The following is a 19,094-nucleotide window of genomic DNA, read 5'->3' on the forward strand; positions in this document are numbered from 1 at the left end:
TCCTTGCGATAGTTTGCTGAGAATGATGGTTTCCAGCTTCATCCATGTCCCTACAAAGGACATGAACTCATCATTTTTTATGGCTGCATAGTATTCCATGGTGTATATGTGCCACATTTTCTTAATCCAGTCTATCATTGTTGGACATTTGGGTTGGTTCCAAGTCTTTGCTATTGTGAATAGTGCCGCAATAAACATACGTGTGCATGTGTCTTTATAGCAGCATGATCTATAGTCCTTTGGGTATATACCCAGTAATGGGATGGCTGGGTCAAATGGTATTTCTAGTTCTAGATCCCTGAGGAATTGCCACACTGACTTCCACAATGGTTGAACTAGTTTACAGTCCCACCAACAGTGTAAAAGTGTTCCTATTTCTCCACACCCTTTCCAGCACCTGTTGTTTCCTGACTTATTAATGATTGCCGTTCTAACTGGTGTGAGATGGTATCTCATTGTGGTTTTGATTTGCATTTCTCTGATGGCCAGTGATGATGAGCATTTTTTCATGTGTTTTTTGGCTGCATAAATGTCTTCTTTTGAGAAGTGTCTGTTCATGTCCTTCACCCACTTTTTGATGGGGTTGTTTGTTTTTTTTCTTGTAAATTTGTTTGAGTTCATTGTAGATTCTGGATATTAGCCCTTTGTCAGATGAGTAGGTTGCGAAAATTGTCTCCCATTTTGTAGGTTGCCTGTTCACTCTGATGGTAGTTTCTTTTGCTGTGCAGAAGCTCTTTAGTTTAATTAGATCCCATTTGTCAATTTTGGCTTTTGTTGCCATTGCTTTTGGTGTTTTGGACATGAAGTCCTTGCCCATGCCTGTGTCCTGAATGGTAATGCCTAGGTTTTCTTCTAGGGTTTTTATGGTTTTAGGTCTAATGTTTAAGTCTTTAATCCATCTTGAATTGATTTTTGTGTAAGGTGTAAGGAAGGGATCCAGTTTCAGCTTTCTACATATGGCTAGCCAGTTTTCCCAGCACCATTTGTTAAATAGGGAATCCTTTCCCCATTGCTTGTTTTTCTCAGGTTTGTCAAAGATCAGATAGTTGTAGATATGCGGCGTTACTTCTGAGGGCTCTGTTCTGTTCCATTAATCTATATCTCTGTTTTGGTACCAGTACCATGCTGTTTTGGTTACTGTAGCCTTGTAGTATAGTTTGAAATCAGGTAGTGTGATGCCTCCAGCTTTGTTCTTTTGGCTTAGGATTGCCTTGGCGATGCAGGCTCTTTTTTGGTTCCATACAAACTTTAAAGTAGTTTTTTCCAATTCTGTGAAGAAAGTCATTGGTAGCTTGATGGGGATGGCATTGAATCTGTAAATTACCTTGGGCACTATGGCCATTTTCACGATATTGATTCTTCCTACCCATGAGCATGGAATGTTCTTCCATTTGTTTGTATCCTCTTTTATTTCCTTGAGCAGTGGTTTGTAGTTCTCCTTGAAGAGGTCCTTCACATCCCTTGTAAGTTGGATTCCTAGGTATTTTATTCTCTTTGAAGCAATTGTGAATGGGAGTTCACTCATGATTTGGCTCTCTGTTTGTCTGTTGTTGGTGTGTAAGAATGCTTGTGATTTTTGTACATTGATTTTGTATCCTGAGACTTTGCTGAAGTTGCTTACCAGCTTAAGGAGATTTTGGGCTGAGACAATGGGGTTTTCTAGATATACAATCATGTCATCTGCAAACAGGGACAATTTGACTTCCTCTTTTCCTAATTGAATACCCTTTATTTCCTTCTCCTGCCTAATTGCCCTGGCCAGAACTTCCAACATTATGTTGAATAGGAGTGGTGAGAGAGGGCATCCCTGTCTTGTGCCAGTTTTCAAAGGGAATGCTTCCAGTTTTTGCCCATTCAGTATGATATTGGCTGTGGGTTTGTCATAGATAGCTCTTATTATTTTGAAATACATCCCATCAATACCTAATTTATTGAGAATTTTTAGCATGAAGGGTTGTTGAATTTTGTCAAAGGCTTTTTCTGCATCTATTGAGATAATCATGTGGTTTTTGTCTTTGGCTCTGTTTATATGCTGGATTACATTTATTGATTTGCGTATATTGAACCAGCCTTGCATCCCAGGGATGAAGCCCACTTAATCATGGTGGATAAGCTTTTTGATGTGCTGCTGGATTCGTTTTGCCAGTATTTTATTGAGGATTTTTGCATCAATGTTCATCAAGGATATTGGTCTAAAATTCTCTTTTTTGGTTGTGTCTCTGCCCGGCTTTGGTATCAGAATGATGCTGGCCTCATAAAATGAGTTAGGGAGGATTCCCTCTTTTTCTGTTGATTGGAATAGTTTCAGAAGGAATGGTACCAGTTCCTCCTTGTACCTCTGGTAGAAATCGGCTGTGAATCCATCTGGTCCTGGACTCTTTTTGGTTGGTAAACTATTGATTATTGCTACAATTTCAGCTCCTGTTATTGGTCTATTCAGAGATTCAACTTCTTTGTGGTTTAGTCTTGGGAGAGTGTATGTGTCAAGGAATTTATCCATTTCTTCTAGATATTCTAGTTTATTTGCGTAGAGGTGTTTGTAGTATTCTCTGATGGTAGTTTGTATTTCTGTGGGATTGGTGGTGATATCCCCTTTATCATTTTTTATTCCGTCTATTTGATTCTTCTCTCTTTTTTTCTTTATTAGTCTTGCTAGCGGTCTATCTATTTTGTTGATCCTTTCAAAAAACCAGCTCCTGGATTCATTAATTTTTTGAAGAGTTTTTTGTGTCTCTATTTCCTTCAGTTCTGCTCTGATTTTAGTTATTTCTTGCCTTCTGCTCGCTTTTGAATGTGTTTGCTCTTGCTTTTCTAGTTCTTTTAATTGTGATGTTAGGGTGTCAATTTTGGATCTTTCCTGCTTTCTCTTGTGGGCATTTAGTGCTATAAATTTCCCTCTACACACTGCTTTGAATGTGTCCCAGAGATTCTGGTATGTTGTGTCTTTGTTCTCGTTGGTTTCAAAGAACATCTTTATTTCTGCCTTCATTTCGTTATGTATCCAGTAGTCATTCAGGAGCAGGTTGTTCAGTTTCCATGTAGTTGAGCGGTTTTGAGTGAGATTCTTAATCCTGAGTTCCAGTTTGATTGCACTGTGGTCTGAGAGATAGTTTGTTATAATCTCTGTTCTTTTACATTTGCTGAGGAGAGCTTTACTTCCAAGTACGTGGTCATTTTTGGAATAGGTGTGGTGTGGTGCTGAAAAAAATGTATATTCTGTTGATTTGGGGTGGAGAGTTCTGTAGATGTCTGTTAGGTCTGCTTGGTGCAGAGCTGAGTTCAATTCCTGGGTATCCTTGTTGACTTTCTGTCTCGTTGATCTGTCTAATGTTGACAGTGGGGTGTTAAAGTCTCCCATTATTAATGTGTGGGAGTCTAAGTCTCTTTGTAGGTCACTCAGGACTTGCTTTTTGAATCTGGGTGCTCCTGTGTTGGGTGCATATATATTTAGGATAGTTAGCTCTTCTTGTTGAATTGATCCCTTTACCATTATGTAATGGCCTTCTTTGTCTCTTTTGATCTTTGTTGGTTTAAAGTCTGTTTTATCAGAGACTAGGATTGCAACCCCTGCCTTTTTTTGTTTTCCATTTGCTTGGTAGATCTTCCTCCATCCTTTTATTTTGAGCCTATGTGTGTCTCTGCACGTGAGATGGGTTTCCTGAATACAGCACACTGATGGGTCTTGACTCTTTATCCAATTTGCCAGTCTGTGTCTTTTAATTGGAGCATTTAGTCCATTTACATTTAAAGTTAATATTGTTATGTGTGAATTTGATCCTGTCATTATGATGTTAGGGGTGATTTTGCTCATTAGTTGATGCAGTTTCTTCTTAGTCTCGATGGTCTTTACATTTTGGCATGATTTTGCAGCGGCTGGTACCGGTTGTTCCTTTCCATGTTTAGTGCTTGCTTCAGGAGCTCTTTTAGGGCAGGCCTGGTGGTGACAAAATCTCTCAGCATTTGCTTGTCTGTAAAGTATTTTATTTCTCCTTCACTTATGAAGCTTAGTTTGGCTGGATATGAAATTCTGGGTTGAAAATTCTTTTCTTTAAGAATGTTGAATATTGGCCCCCACTCTCTTCTGGCTTGTAGGGTTTCTGCCGAGAGATCCGCTGTTAGTCTGATGGGCTTCCCTATGAGGGTAACCCGACCTTTCTCTCTGGCTGCCCTTAACATTTTTTCCTTCATTTCAACTTTGGTGAATCTGACAGTTATGTGTCTTGGAGTTGCTCTTCTCGAGGAGTATCTTTGTGGCGTTCTCTGCATTTCCTGAATCTGAATGTTGGCCTGCCTTGCTAGATTGGGGAAGTTCTCCTGGATAATATCCTGCAGAGTGTTTTCCACCTTGGTTCCATTCTCCCCATCACTTTCAGGTACACCAATCAGACGTAGATTTGGTCTTTTCACATAGTCGCATATTTCTTGGAGGCTTTGCTCATTTCTTTCTATTCTTTTTTCTCTAAACTTCCCTTCTCGCTTCATTTCATTCATTTCATCTTCCATTGCTGATACCCTTTCTTCCAGTTGATCGCATCGGCTCCTGAGGCTTCTGCATTCTTCACGTAGTTCTCGAGCCTTGGTTTTCAGCTCCATCAGCTCCTTTAAGCACTTCTCTGTATTGGTTATTCTAGTTGTACATTCTTCTAAATTTTTTTCAAAGTTTTCAACTTCTTTGCCTTTGGTTTGAATGTCCTCCCGTAGCTCAGAGTAATTTGATCGTCTGAAGCCTTCTTCTCTCAGCTCGTGAAAGTCATTCTCCATCCAGCTTTGTTCCGTTGCTGGTGAGGAACTGCGTTCCTTTGGAGGAGGAGAGGCGCTCTGCGTTTTAGAGTTTCCAGTTTTTCTGTTCTGTTTTTTCCCCATCTTTGTGGTTTTATCTACTTTTGGTCTTTGATGATGATGATGTACAGATGGGTTTTTGGTGTGGATGTCCTTTCTGTTTGTTAGTTTTCCTTCTAACAGACAGGACCCTCAGCTGCAGGTCTGTTGGAATAGCCTGCCGTGTGAGGTGTCAGTGTGCCCCTGCTGGGGGGTGCCTCCCAGTTAGGCTGCTTCGGGGTCAGGGGTCAGGCACCCACTTGAGGAGGCAGTCTGCCCGTTCTCAGATCTCCAGCTGCGTGCTGGGAGAACCACTGCTCTCTTCAAAGCTGTCAGACAGGGACATTTAAGTCTGCAGAGGTTACTGCTGTCTTTTTGTTTGTCTGTGCCCTGCCCCCAGAGGTGGAGCCTACAGAGGCAGGCAGGCCTCCTTGAGCTGTGGTGGGCTCCACCCAGTTTGAGCTTCCTGGCTGCTTTGTTTAAATAAGCAAGCCTGGGCAATGGCGGGCGCCCCTCCCCCAGCCTCGCTGCCGCCTTGCAGGTTGATCTCAGACTGCTGTGCTAGTAATCAGCGAGACTCTGTGGGCGTAGGACCCTCCGAGCCAGGTGCGGGATATAATCTCGTGGTGTGCCGTTTTTTAAGCCGGTCCGAAAAGCGCAATATTTGGGTGGGAGTGACCCGATTTTCCAGGTGCGTCCGTCACCCCTTTCTTTGACTCGGAAAGGAAACTCCCTGACCCCTTGCGCTTCCCAAGTGAGGCAATGCCTCGCCCTGGTTCGGCTCGCGCACGGTGCACACACCCACTGACCTGCGCCCACTGTCTGGCACTCCCTAGTGAGATGAACCTGGTACCTCAGATGGAAATGCAGAAATCACCCGTCTTCTGCGTTGCTCACGCTGGGAGCTGTAGACCGGAGCTGTTCCTATTCGGCCATCTTGGCTCCTCCTTCATGTGGCGTTATTTCTGAGGGCTCTGTTCTGTTCCATTGATCTGTATCTCTGTTTTGGTACCAGTACCATGCTGTTTTGGTTACTGTAGCCTTGTAGTATAGTTTGAGGTCAGGTAGCGTGATGCCTCCAGCTTTGTTCTTTTGGCTTAGGACTGACTCGGCGATGCGGGCTCTTTTTTGGTTCCATATGAACTTTAAAGTAGTTTTTTCCAATTCTGTGAAGAAAGTCATTGGTAGCTTGATGGGGTTGGCATTGAATCTATAAATTACCTTAAGCAGTATGGCCATTTTCATGATATTGATTCTTCCTACCCATAAGCATGGAATGTTCTTCCACTTGTTTGTATCCTCTTTTATTTCATTGAGCAGTGGTTTATAGTTCTCCTTGAAGAGGTCCTTCACATCCCTTGTAAGTTGGATTCCTAGGTATTTTATTCTCTTTGAAGCAATTGTGAATGGGAGTTCACTCATGATTTGGCTCTCTGTTTGTCTGTTATTGGTGTATAAGGGTGCTTGTGATTTCTGTACATTGATTTTGTATCCTGAGACTTTGCTGAAGTTGCTTATCAGCTTAAGGAGATTCTGGGCTGAGATGATGGGGTTTTCTAAATATACAATCATGTCATCTGCAAACAGGGACAATTTGACTTCCTCTTTTCCTAATTGGATGCCCTTTATTTCCTTCTCGAAAAATATTATTTGTTTTTACATTCCTTATACAGAGTATTAGGATACTTATTCATTGTTGAATGGAGTGTATTCAAAGAAAACCACATAAGCCCTGAGGCTTAATCCTCTTATCTGTAGTGAGGAAAATTGGTCATTTTCTGCATCATCAGTGGTAAAGTAAGTGCTATACTTTGGATGAAGAGGTACCATTTGGTATACTTTGGATGAAGAGGTACCATTATTTGATAATAAACTCTATTAGACATGGGGATGACACCCTCTGTTAAGGCATTGGTGGGTTTCTTGCTCACAGGGCCTTTGAAGATGTCAAGGTCTTTTGGCGAGTCACACTTAACAAAACAGTCGTCGTGCTCCAGAAGGATGGGGTAAACCTGGTGGAGGAACTTCAGTCTGTGTCAGGGACCACAACCTGTACAATGGGTCAAACAAAATGCTTTATCAGCATTGAACTCAAACCAGAAAAGGTAAGAAATGAAGAGACACACTAGTGTCAACTTCTAATTATATTTCTTTAGAATTAATCATTTTAAAACCACTATTGAAACTTACACATTGTTGATAGGGAGATTCTTTGTGTTTTTCTTAGCCATAATGTCTAAATCTCTTTGCCGACAACAGGCTTTAGACAGACTTGATTACATTATGGTATTTTGTAAATAAACTTGTCATTTTTCTATTTTTTTGTTTCTTGCCATTCTAAAATAACAACCATGTAGGTTTAACTTCTTTTATTTGTATTCTTGGTACAATTCTTTCCTTTTCTAGAAATAAATGTCTTATTCACAATTCTTTTTGTTAGCCCCTTCCTACTTACATACAAAGAAAAAAATGTTTATCATTGCTTAATAAATGAACACATGCTTAATAAAAGACATGTCGATATGCTAACTCTTCTACACATTAAAATTAATAAAATATTAAGTATATGCTGTTAGAATCACATTTATCTTGCATGGTATCTCTTTTTTATATTACAATAACATTTCTTTCAGTATCACTATAAATTCAAATTCAAATAATTTTTATTACTTACTAAGTGATTTTCTTTTTGGTATTCAAATAGTCATGGCATGGCCACTGGTAGTCTTATTAAGCTGGTCTTTTGTCTTTTCAATATTACTTTTAAAATATCTGGAAGCATACTTGCTTTATAGCAATAACAAATATTCTAGAGCTGTCTTGATTTTTTCCCTGATGTAAGACAGCCAATTAACTAGTGTCAAAGGACTTGATTTCTTTGATCAGAAAGGATTTTAGAGATCTATATGTATGTACTACAGCTATATAGGAAAGTTGATGCAGGCAAATGTGTTGCTGTTGTGGCCACCTTGGTGGTGGTAGTGCTGGAAAATATATTTTCCTTAAAGCCTGGAATCCCCACTCTTTTTCGTAGTTTAGCATATCACATCATTGTTTTTTGCTTTTCTTGAGTGGAGTTATCATCAGCTACTAAAACTTTCTGTCACACTGACAATGAGGAACTGAAATTTCAATACTCAAGACATTTGATCATATAGTATGTCCTCACTTCACGTCCTCAATAGGCTCTTGGAAACTGCAACTTTACGTGAAACAATGTGCTGTATAATGAAACCAATTTTACCATAGACTAATTGATGTTTATATCAGTTAAACAGTTGACTTCCTACTGCACACAGTATGTCCTTTCATTTAAAGTTGCTGTTTCCAAGAACCTGTCATGGTTAAGTGAAGACTTACTGTATTCTACTTGAATTTAAACTCTTCTTCATGCATTTCTTCCAAATATTTTTATGCTTCCATCAACCCTCTCAACCCCATATTTCTTTTTTTTTTCTTTTTTGAGGTGGAGTCTCACTCTGTTGTCCAGGCTGCAGTGCAGTGCTGTGATCTCGGCTCACTGCAACTTCCACCTCCTGAGTTCAAGCGATTCTCATGCCTCAGCCTCCTGAGTAGCTGGGATTATAGGTGCACACCACCATGCCCAACTAATTTTTGTATTTTTAGTAGAGACGGGGTTTCACCCTGTTGGCCTGGCTAGTCTGGAACTTATAGCCTCAAGCGATCCGCCCACCTTGGCCTCCCAATGTGCTGGGATTACAGGCATGAGTCAGCATGCCTAGCCCCCATATTTCTTAACTATAGCTTTCCGTTAATCAAAATACCACTTTCTCCATGATGCCTCCCATGAAACCTCTAGTTGGAGTCGTTGATTCTCTAAATTTATAAAACATTATCTGTTCCTTTCCTATGGAAATTATCAGTTATATGCAGTGTTACAACTTATGCATAGTTTATATAGACTATAAGACTGTTAGCTGTTCAAAAATTAGAATATGGTTTTGCATTCTTCATAAATATGTTTTGCATACATGATTACTAAATATTATATTGTGCATTTTATCTCAAATAGGATTTTTGGTGAATTAGAATACTGATACGATCTCACTAGGCTTTAAACATCTGTCTCGTACAGTAGATGTTAAACTTGTAATTCTAAGAAGAGAGAGGAGAAGAGCCATTAGGAGTGGGCTTGGGCAAGCTGAATAAAGAGAAATAGGAAAGTTAAAGTATAGGTGGGGTTAGGGTAGACTACTTCCTCTGAGCTTGCCCTCCTTGCAGAAGAATATATAATTAAGGGGTAAGAAAATGTTGTATGCAATACATGGGATGCTAACTGTATATATTTGTTTTCCTAACTAGAGAAATGCTACTGAGCCCATTATCAAAAGTTTCAGTTAGGTAAGAGAAAAAAATTAGTCACACCTCTTCTTTCTCTTTCACATATGATATTCAAATCGTAGAGTTTTCTTCTGCATTCTGAGAAGCAGCTAATTTTCAAGACATTTTTTCCCTCATTATCTTTTCACCTGTTAAAAGGCAAGGAACAAGCAAGGTTAATATATATTCTAGTTTCATTAAGAGGAAATTTAAAAAGAGAGAAGATGGAAGATGATTATTTTCTCATGAAAATGAAAAAGTGTTTTTCAAAAAGTACTATGAACTTTTGATATACATTTTAACATTTTACATGTTATTAGTAGAAGGGAATTTATTACTCATCCAGTTCAAATTATTATTATGTCAGATAAACTGAGACCTAATGATATACACAATACATGTTCTGTGACAATATTCTTCTGTAGTGGGCTTTGAGAAATTATTTGGAGGTCCTAGTAGAGCCACCCAATTATTGCTAGATTTTTGACCTAAGCACCATCTTCTTCATTTTTTGTCAAAGGAAAGACATCAGTTACACTGAACTTATTCTTGGAGTCACTGGAGTCAGTTTAAGAGTTAGGGTTCTGATAATGGAAGACTTTAGTTCAAATATTAACTCTTCTACCAATTAGCTGGGTGACATTGGACAGGTTGCTTAGCCTTCCTGAGCCTCCCAGGTTTAACGGGGTTAATAACAGGGCTGTGAGGCAGATAAAGAAAATAATGAATGAGAAGTTCTTAGCACAGCTCTCGGCAGAGTTGGCCCTTCATAAGAGATGGTGAGTATTGAGATTATTCAGAATGGATGGAGATGGAGCCCGAGGGAATGCAATGACTTGAGTAATAACTACATCAACACAAGTGGTAGAAGAGTTACAGATATTGCAGACACAACAAATGCATCCACAGAATTACACCACTCATTAATGGCAGTGTCCCTCACCTCAATCCAGTCTATTGGCACTCAAAGTTTTTTGACTCTGTCCTATCTCAGATTATCATCTCTACAGTTTTTCAATACTTTCACTTTTGAATTATGAAGAATTTAAGTAACTCGCCCAATTCAATTACTGGGCCAAGATTAGAACTCATCTCTTGAATTCCAGTCCATTTCCCCTTTTCCTGATTATTTATCTTATGATTCTATATTAGTAAAATGTAAAAGGTAACAACTTAGGAAGCATGCTCTTAACCACAAAATCTGTTTGAATCCAGTGTTTAAATATTTGTTGCAAATATTTTCAAAAATATTTAAGTAAGGTATTGTTTCATTGTTACTTTGGTTTTTCTATTGCTGAATAGTTCTGGTCCCTGGAAAAATCATCTTATACTAGTTAGGGCAAAAGATCATCCTGGGATGCTTCTGACCTAACCAGGAAAAGAACCTGCTGGGAATTACACATGGAATGGGCTCTTATGAGGTCTCTGTCATTTTTAGGAGTCTAGGGAGGTTCACATATGATCTGCAAGTCTTGATTTCTCATTAGACTTCAGAAATATTGTTTCAATAGAGTGTTTATTTCTAAGACTTGAAGACTCTTTATGTTACTAGTCTAATGATATGTAGGCACCCATCTTTACACTGTTCAATTTCAGATGATTCTTAACTTAGATTATAACATATTATTTTGTTTGTAGGTGGCTATAAGTATGTTCTAATCATCGTCACAATGAAAAAGGAATATTTTTCTAGAAAATAAAAGTCTGTTGGAATGTAATATACCGAAATCCTTAGTTAAAAGAAACTACTTTGAATTCAAGCTCGCTTGGCCATACTAGGTCTTGAATATAGTTACTATACTTTGATAGTGCTTTAGTTTATTGTATTTGCCAAATGTAGTTTCTCAAAAGTGGACACAGTACAATTATTTCCATATTTCAATATCAACTGACAGTTAATCAGCAACAGTAAAGAATGATATGTGCCACAGAAAAAACTAAGTATTTCTTCAGAAAACAAAAGGAGATTAAGTTGATTTATGCTATAACTAAGATATAACTTACTTATAAACACTTGGATAATTCTGAAGGGTTGGTTGTATCATTTCATGATGTAATAGTTATCATTAAAATGGTCACAAAACATAATGGTCATTGCTGGTAGGTAAAAATGATACATTATATCAAATTAGACAATGTCACTGCAGTTGTAAAGGCATCAGCTTAGCTCCTTTGAGTTATGCCAGATGGGTAACAATATTGCTAAGATTTGTGGATGATTTTGTTAAGAGTGAATCATTAGTAAAAACAGGTGATTGCCAATATGTTATAAAATTGAATTCAGGCTTTAGAAAATAAATTATTTGAGACTGTTGAGAAGGAACCAAGGTGAAACATGAGCAAACTGTAACCAGCAGACTATATTTAGACTATATACTGAATTTTGGAAAATTTTGAAAAATACATAAAACTTCAGAATTGACTATTATAAATATTTGATTATATTTATTTAAAACACTTTAAAAATAAAAGAAATAAAAATAGAACCTTACAAAATTGAAGATCCATTTTTTTCCCCCTCCTCAGTAATATTCTCCAACTCCACTCCCTGCCCTGTCCCCACCCAAACCCTCCACCCAAGGCAACTGCTGTCAGGGTGTGGTAGTTAAAAAAGAAAACTTTACATAAATATGTATCTATTAATAAAATATAGTAAGCTTTATGTAGTTTTAACTTTACTTTTATGGTATCATTCTATACATATCATTATACAGCTTGATATTTTCACTTACTGTCATATTTTGAGATGCATCTGTGTTAAAAAACATTGAATTAGTTTATTCCTTTTAACTACTTTATAGTGTTTTGTGGTATGAATACATTTAATTTATTTTTTTGCTGATCGTAGTAAACATAGGTTGTTTCCTGACATTGATTTTCTAGTAAGAAGCTCGCCCAGAGAAAGTAAATGTATTTTTAAAGAAAGACCAAAAATAAATGTCATGATAATCTAAGAATTTAATTCCGTAATTATACAGAATATATCTCTAGATTTATATATTTATTTCTCTAAAAATGTATATGAATTATACAATATTTAAATATCAGAACTATCTACAGATAGAAATATATTAGTAATAGTTGTTTTTTTTTCCTTTTTCTCATTGTCAGGTACCACAGGTTGAAGTGTATTTTTTTGTGGAACTATATGAAGCTACTGCTGGAGCAGCAATAAACAACAGTGCCAGATTCGCACAGATTAAAATCTTAGAAAGTGATGAATCTCAAAGCCTTGTGTATTTTTCTGTGGGTTCTCGGCTGGCAGTGGCTCACAAGAAGGCCACTTTAATCAGTCTGCAGGTGGCCAGAGATTCTGGGACAGGACTAATGATGTCTGTTAACTTTAGTACCCAGGTAAGCATGGAATATATATATTCATACACGTTATGGTTTTCTTCTTTAACTACAGCAAGAGTAATGACATAGGGAATAATTGATACATTATTTTCTGAGGATAACATCGTAATTCACTTTTTATTCATTACATTAAGCTTTATCCTTGAAACAGCTCAGCTTTTCACTCATCAGTAACAGATCATGTTTTAAAACGACAGACTTCTTTTTTCTCTCTTTTGACAAGATTGATTATACAGTGCAAACTATCTTACATAAATCTGTTTTATAAAATCTCTAGGGAGTTAAAATTTCTTCAGAATGTAACTGTTGAAGGCCAGAAGCAGAAAGTGAGGATCTTGTTATGTTTTGTTTCCAAAACAGTTGAAAATTTTCTTTTTCAGAACCTCCAACACTAGCTGATCTTTACACTTCTTCAAATCCATGTGTTCACAAAGCCTCACTGCCACTTTTTTCACATCCATCCTCTTAGGTGACATCAGATAAAAGACAGGGAGGCTATCTGGGGACTCAGAAGATCAATGCTGCATAACACTAAGTCACCAGACCGTGGGCTTGGCCCCAACAATACCATATACCTTTCAGCCTTATTTTTTTGCTTTTGTTTTAGCAGTGAAACTCTAATATAGTAAAGCAAAAATCTGTCCCTACTCTGCTTGAAGTATGATTGTTAGGATCATAGCTGACCCACCTTAGTCCTCTCTTTGTTCCCCTTACTTTATATAACTTCAGGAAACCCACTATTTGAAAACTGCCATTCTGGACAGCTCTTCTATTTCCAATGTTTCAAGATTCCAAACCAGATGAATCCTTGGGCCTTAAGATTTCACAGTTTCATTAAAAGTTCCCTTTAGTACCTGCCTGGTTGTGTCACCATTGGGTGGCTCAAACAGGACATTCTGTGCATAAAACAGAACATATGTGTGGCCAGTATGTTGTAGCAGTTACATGAGTCAAGATGAGAGAATAGGCCTCAAGCTGTGGATATTAAGCCGTTCTGAAAGTTTGCCAGGCAGTAAAACTTATCTTTACGACAGAGTCCACAGTGCAGCAAACAAAAAGAAAACTCCCTATTATATGAGACCCTAGAAATAAAGTCTATTCTAAATAGCACAAAGTGAAGTATGTTGATTTACAGTAGGAAGACTTGAGTATTTTTATTGGAGTATTTAAGATAGAAGATAAATTATAGAAGTCTGTTTCATTCTTCCTCTTCTCCCATAAAATGTATATCGTTATAACTTACTACTTTGGAGAATGGAAGAAGGGGGACTGGAAATGAAAAACCAGATGATAAAAGAGATTTGAGGCACATCTTAAGCGAGTTTATGTGCTCAGTCAGATGAGAGGGGAATTGAAGTTGCCAAAAGAAGAATCTGAAGGCCAGCAACTCTATCATATTTATTTATATGTTTTCTAGATTCTTCATAAGTGATTCTTTGCAAAATGCATGCTGTCAGTAGTGTATAACTCATAAAGGGCACTTATTTATGGAACAATATATTTTTAGGAATTTCCAGTTTTCCCTACTGAAATGGTTAATTTTATATGTCAACTTGACTGGACCACAGAGTACCCATATATCTGGTCAAACATTATTCTAAGTGTTTCTGTGAGGGTTATTTTTTGGAATGAGATTGGCGTGTAAATCAGTAGACTGAGTAAAGCAGATTGCCTTCATAATGTGGGTGAGCCTCATTCAATCAGTCAAAGTCCTGAATAGACCAAAAAGCCTGGCCCTCCTTTAAGTAAGAGAGAATTTTTCCTGTCTGATAGGCTTTGACTTGGAATAATGGCTTTTTCCGGTCTCTGGACTCAAAATGGAACATTGGCTATTCCTGGGTCTTAAGCCTGCTGGCTTTTGCACGGGAACTACACCATTGGTTCTCCTAGTTCTCAGGCCATAAGGCTTGAACTGGAACTAAACCATTGACCTCCTTTGGTCTTCAGCCTGTGAAATCATCCTGCAGATGATCTTGAGACTTCTCAGCCTCCATAACTGCATGAGCTAATTTCTTACCTTATAATAAATCTCTCTCTCTCTCTCTCTATATATATATACACACACACACATACGTATATATACATATATATACACACACACACACACACAAAAACATAAGTACACGCACACACACACCCTATTCTGACCCTGACCAATAAACATCCTACCCTGCGATTATAGGCTTAGTAGAGAATGTTTGTGGCAGTGCATTAATACCAGTATTTTTATTTTTTAATTTTTGTAGGTACATAGTAGATGTATATATTAATGGGATACATGAGATATTTTGATACAGGCATACAATGCATAATAATCACATCAGGATAAATGGGGTATCCACCACCTCAAGCATTTATCCTTCCTTTTTGTTACAGATAATTCAATTATACTTTTTTAGTTATTTTTAAATGTACAATAAATTATTGTTGACTATAGTCGTGCTGTTGTGCTATCAAATACTAGATTGTATTCATTCTGACTATTTTTTGTACTCATTAACCATTCTAACTTCCCTCAACCCCCTCTGCCCCACCGCCACCACCTTCTCAACCTTTGGTAACCATCATTCTACTCCCTATCTTCATGAGTTCAATTGTTTCAATTTGTAGTTCCCACAAATAAGTGAGAACATTTAATGTTTGTGTTTCTCTGCGTGGCCTATTTCACTTAACATAATAACCTCCAGTTCCATCCATGTTGTTGCAAATTACAGGATCTCATTCTTTTTAATGGCTTAATAGTACTGCATTGTGTATATGTAGCACATTTTCAATATCCATTCACCTGTTGATGGACACTTTGGTTGGTTCCAAATCTTGACTGTGGTGAATAGTGTTGCAACAAACATGAGAGTGCAGGTATCTCTTTGATACACTTTCTTTTCTTTTGGGTATATCCCTAGGATTTCCTTTCTTTTGGGTATATACCTGGGAGTGGAATTACTGGATTATATGGTAGCTTTATTTTTAGTTTTCTGAGGAATCTCCAAACTTCTCCATAGTGGTTGTACTAATTTACATTCCTACCAACAGTGTATGAGGGTTCCATTTTCTCCACCTTCTCACTAGCATTCATTATTGCCTTTCTTTTGCATAAAAGCCATTTAATTGAGGTGAGATTATATTTCATTGTAGTTTTGATTTGCATTTCTTTCATGATTAGTGATGTTGAGCACCTTTTCTTATCCCTATTTACCATTTGTATGTCTTCTTTAGAGAAATGTCTATTCAGATCTTTTGCCCATTTTAAAATTGGATTATTACATTTTTACTCATAGAGTTCTTTGAGCTCCTTATATATTCTAGTTATTAATCCCTTGTCAGATGGGTAGTTTGCAGATATTTTCTCCCATTCTGTGGGCTGTCTCTTCACTTTGTTGATTGTTTCTTTGGTTGTGCAGAAACTTTTTAATTTGATATGATTCCATTTGTCCATTTTTACTTTGGTTGTGGGGTATTACTCAAAAAAATCTGCCAGTCCAATGTCCTAGAGAGTTTCCTCCAACATTTTCTTGTAGTAGTTTCTTAGTTTGAGATCTTAAATTTAAGTCTTTAATCCATTTTTGTTTTGATTTGACTTTCTGTGTATGGTGAGAGATAGGGATCTAGTTTCATTCCTCTGCATATGGATACCCAGATTTCCCGGAACCATTTATTGAAGAGACTGCCCTTTTTCCAATGTACGTTCTTGTCACCTTTGTGGAAAATGAGTTCACTGTAGAAGTACGGATTTGTTTCTGGGTTCTATTCCATTCTGTTCCATTGGTCTATATGTCTGTTTTTATGCCAGTACCATGCTGTTTTGGTTACTGTCACTCTCTAGTATAATTTGAAATCAGGTAATGTGATTCCTCCAGTTTTTTTCTTTTTGCTCAGGATAGCTTTGGCTATTCTGAGTCTTTTGTAGTTCCATTTAAGATTATTTTTCCTATTTCTGTGAAGAATGTCATTGGCATTTTGATAAGGATTGTGTTGAATCTGTAGATTGCTTTGGGTAGTATGAACATGTTAACAATACTGATTCTTCCAATCCATGAACATTAAATATCTGCATTTTTGTGCCTTCTTCAATTTCTTGCATCAATGTTTTTCATAGATTTGTTTTGGTTTTTTGAGATAGGGTCTTGATCTTTTGCCCAGGCTGGAGTGCTGTGGTGTGATCATGGCTTACTACAGCCTTGACCTCCTAGGCTCAAGCAATGCTCCCACCTCAGCCTCTCAAGTAGCCGTGACTACAAGTGCACACCACCACACCTGGCTAATTTTTGTAGTTTTTGCAGAAATGGGATTTTACCATGATACTCAGGCTGGTCTCAAACTCCTGGGCTCAAGCAATCCACCAACTTCAGCTATCCAAAGTGCTGGGATTACAGGCATGAGCCACCATGCCTAGCCAGTTTTACAGTTTTCATTGCAGAGATCTTTCACTTGTTTGGCTAAGTTAATTCTCAGGTATTTTATTTTACTTGTGGCTATTGTAAATGGGATTTTTTTAATTTTCCATATGGTTCACTGTCGGCATATAGAAATGCTACTGATTTTTGTATGTTGATTTTAAATACTGCAACTTTACTAAATTTGTTTATCAATTGTCATTTTTTGTTGTTGAAGTCTAGTTTTTTCCAAATACAAGATCATATCATCTGCAAACAAGGATAATTTGACTTCTTCCTTTCCAATTTGGATGGACTTTATATCATTCTCTTGTCTGATTGTCATTAAAATAATTGCCATTTAAAATAATTGTCATTATTTTAAAATGATGTCATCTTATTACAGATTGCATAAACATACAAGTGAACTAACAAACAAGCAAAGAGGAAACGAATAAAAATTTGACACCTAAACTTTGTACCCCACTTTTTAACTTTTTGTTGTTTCTATTTATATCTTATTATATACTGTCTATGTCTAGAAAAGTTGTTGTAGTTATTATTTTTTATCCGTTCAGTGTTTAGTCTTTCTACACAAGAAATGAGTAGGTTACACACCAAAATTACAGTGTTATAGTATTCTGTAATTTTCTGTGTCCTTGCTATTAACCATGAGTTTTGTACATTCAGATGATTTCTTATTGCTTATTAATATCTTTTTCTTTTAGGTTGAAGAACTTCCGTTAGCATTTCTTGTAGGATAGGACTGGTGTTGATAAAATCTCTCAGCTTTGTTTGTCTGGGAAAGTCTTTCTCCTTCATGTTTGAAGGATATTTTCGCTTGATATACTACTCTGGGATAAAAGTTTCTTCAGCACTTACTAAACATGTCATGCTACACTCTCCTGGCCTGTAAGGTTTCCACTGAAAAGTTTGCTACCAGATGTATGGGAGCTCCACTCTATGTTATTTGTTCCACTTTACTTGCTGCTTTTAGGATTCTTTTTTTTTTTTAAATCCTTAACCTTTGGGAGTTTGATTATTAAATGCCTTGAGGTAGCCTTCTTTGGGTTAAATCTGCTTGGTATTCTGTAACCTTCTTGTACTTGAATACTGATATCTTTCTCTACGTTTGGGAAGTTCTCATTATTAACCCTTTGAATAAACTTTCTCCTTCTATCTCTCTCTTTACATCCCCTTTAAGGCCAATACCTCTTGGAGTTGGCCTTTGGATGATATTTATAGATCTTGTATGCATGTTTCATTTTTATTCTTTTTTCTTTTGTTTCCTCTGCCTATTTTCTTTCTTTCTCTTTCTTTCTTTTTTCTTTCTTTCTCTTTCTTTTTCTTTCTCTTTCCTTCTTTCTTTCTTTCTTTCTTTTTCTTTCTCCTTCCTTCCTTCCTTACTTCCTTTCTTTCCTTCTTTCTTTCTTATTCTTCCAATCCGTGAACATGAAATATCTGCATTTTGTGTCTTCTTCAATTGTTTTGCGATGTCATGTTTTCCTGGATGGTCTTGATGCTTGCGGATATTTGTCAATATCTGGACATTGAAGACTTAGGTATTTATTGTAGTCTTCACAATCTGGGCTTATTTTTACCCATCCTTCTTGGGAAGTTTTTCCAGATATTTGAAGAGGCTTGGGTGCTGTGATCTAAATTTTTGGTTATTGCAGCCATATCTGCATTAGGGGGCATCCCAAGCCCAGTAATGCTGTTGCTCTTGCAGACTCCTAGAAGTACTGCATTGGTGGTCTTGGATAAGATCTGGGAAAATTCCCTGGATTATCAGGCAGAGACTCTTGTTTTCTTCCCTTACTTTCTCCTAAACAAAAGGATCCTCTGTGTCTGTGCTGAACTTCCTGGAGCTGCCAGAGGGTTGATTCAAGGACTCTTGTGGTCACTGCCACTGGGATTGTGCTAGATCAGACCTGAAGCTAGCACAGCACTGGGGGTCTCACCCAAGGCCCATGGTGACCACTGCATAACATATATCATAGTCTAACTAATAAAAATAAAGGCAAGAAAAATATTGAAAGAACTGAGAAAGAAAAGTACCTTATCTTTAGGGCAAAAGCAATCGGAATGACAGGAGATTTCTCATGGAAAACCATGGGTCCCAGGTGGAAATGGCACGCTATTTTTCAAGTGCCAAAAGAAAAGACCCTCCAGCCCTAAATTCTATATCCAGTGAACATATCTTTC

General features: G+C 37.4%; 1 protein-coding gene across 12 annotated transcripts in view; it reads left to right on the top strand.

The window, feature by feature from the left end:
- The window catches only part of ADGRV1 (adhesion G protein-coupled receptor V1), a 605,641-nt gene that overhangs the window by 257,877 nt on the left and 328,670 nt on the right, over positions 1-19,094 (top strand). For all 12 annotated transcript variants that reach the window (NR_003149.2, XM_017009963.3, XM_017009969.3 and 9 more), the window contains 2 exons: positions 6,752-6,923; positions 12,271-12,513. Coding sequence is in view for 11 of the 12 variants with exons in the window: in XM_017009963.3 (XP_016865452.1) it covers positions 6,752-6,923; positions 12,271-12,513 (415 nt within the window). In the remaining variant the exon portion in view is untranslated. The remainder of the gene's footprint in view (positions 1-6,751; positions 6,924-12,270; positions 12,514-19,094) is intronic.

Source organism: Homo sapiens, chromosome 5 (assembly GCF_000001405.40).
Source record: "Homo sapiens chromosome 5, GRCh38.p14 Primary Assembly".
Lineage (NCBI taxonomy): Eukaryota > Metazoa > Chordata > Mammalia > Primates > Hominidae > Homo > Homo sapiens.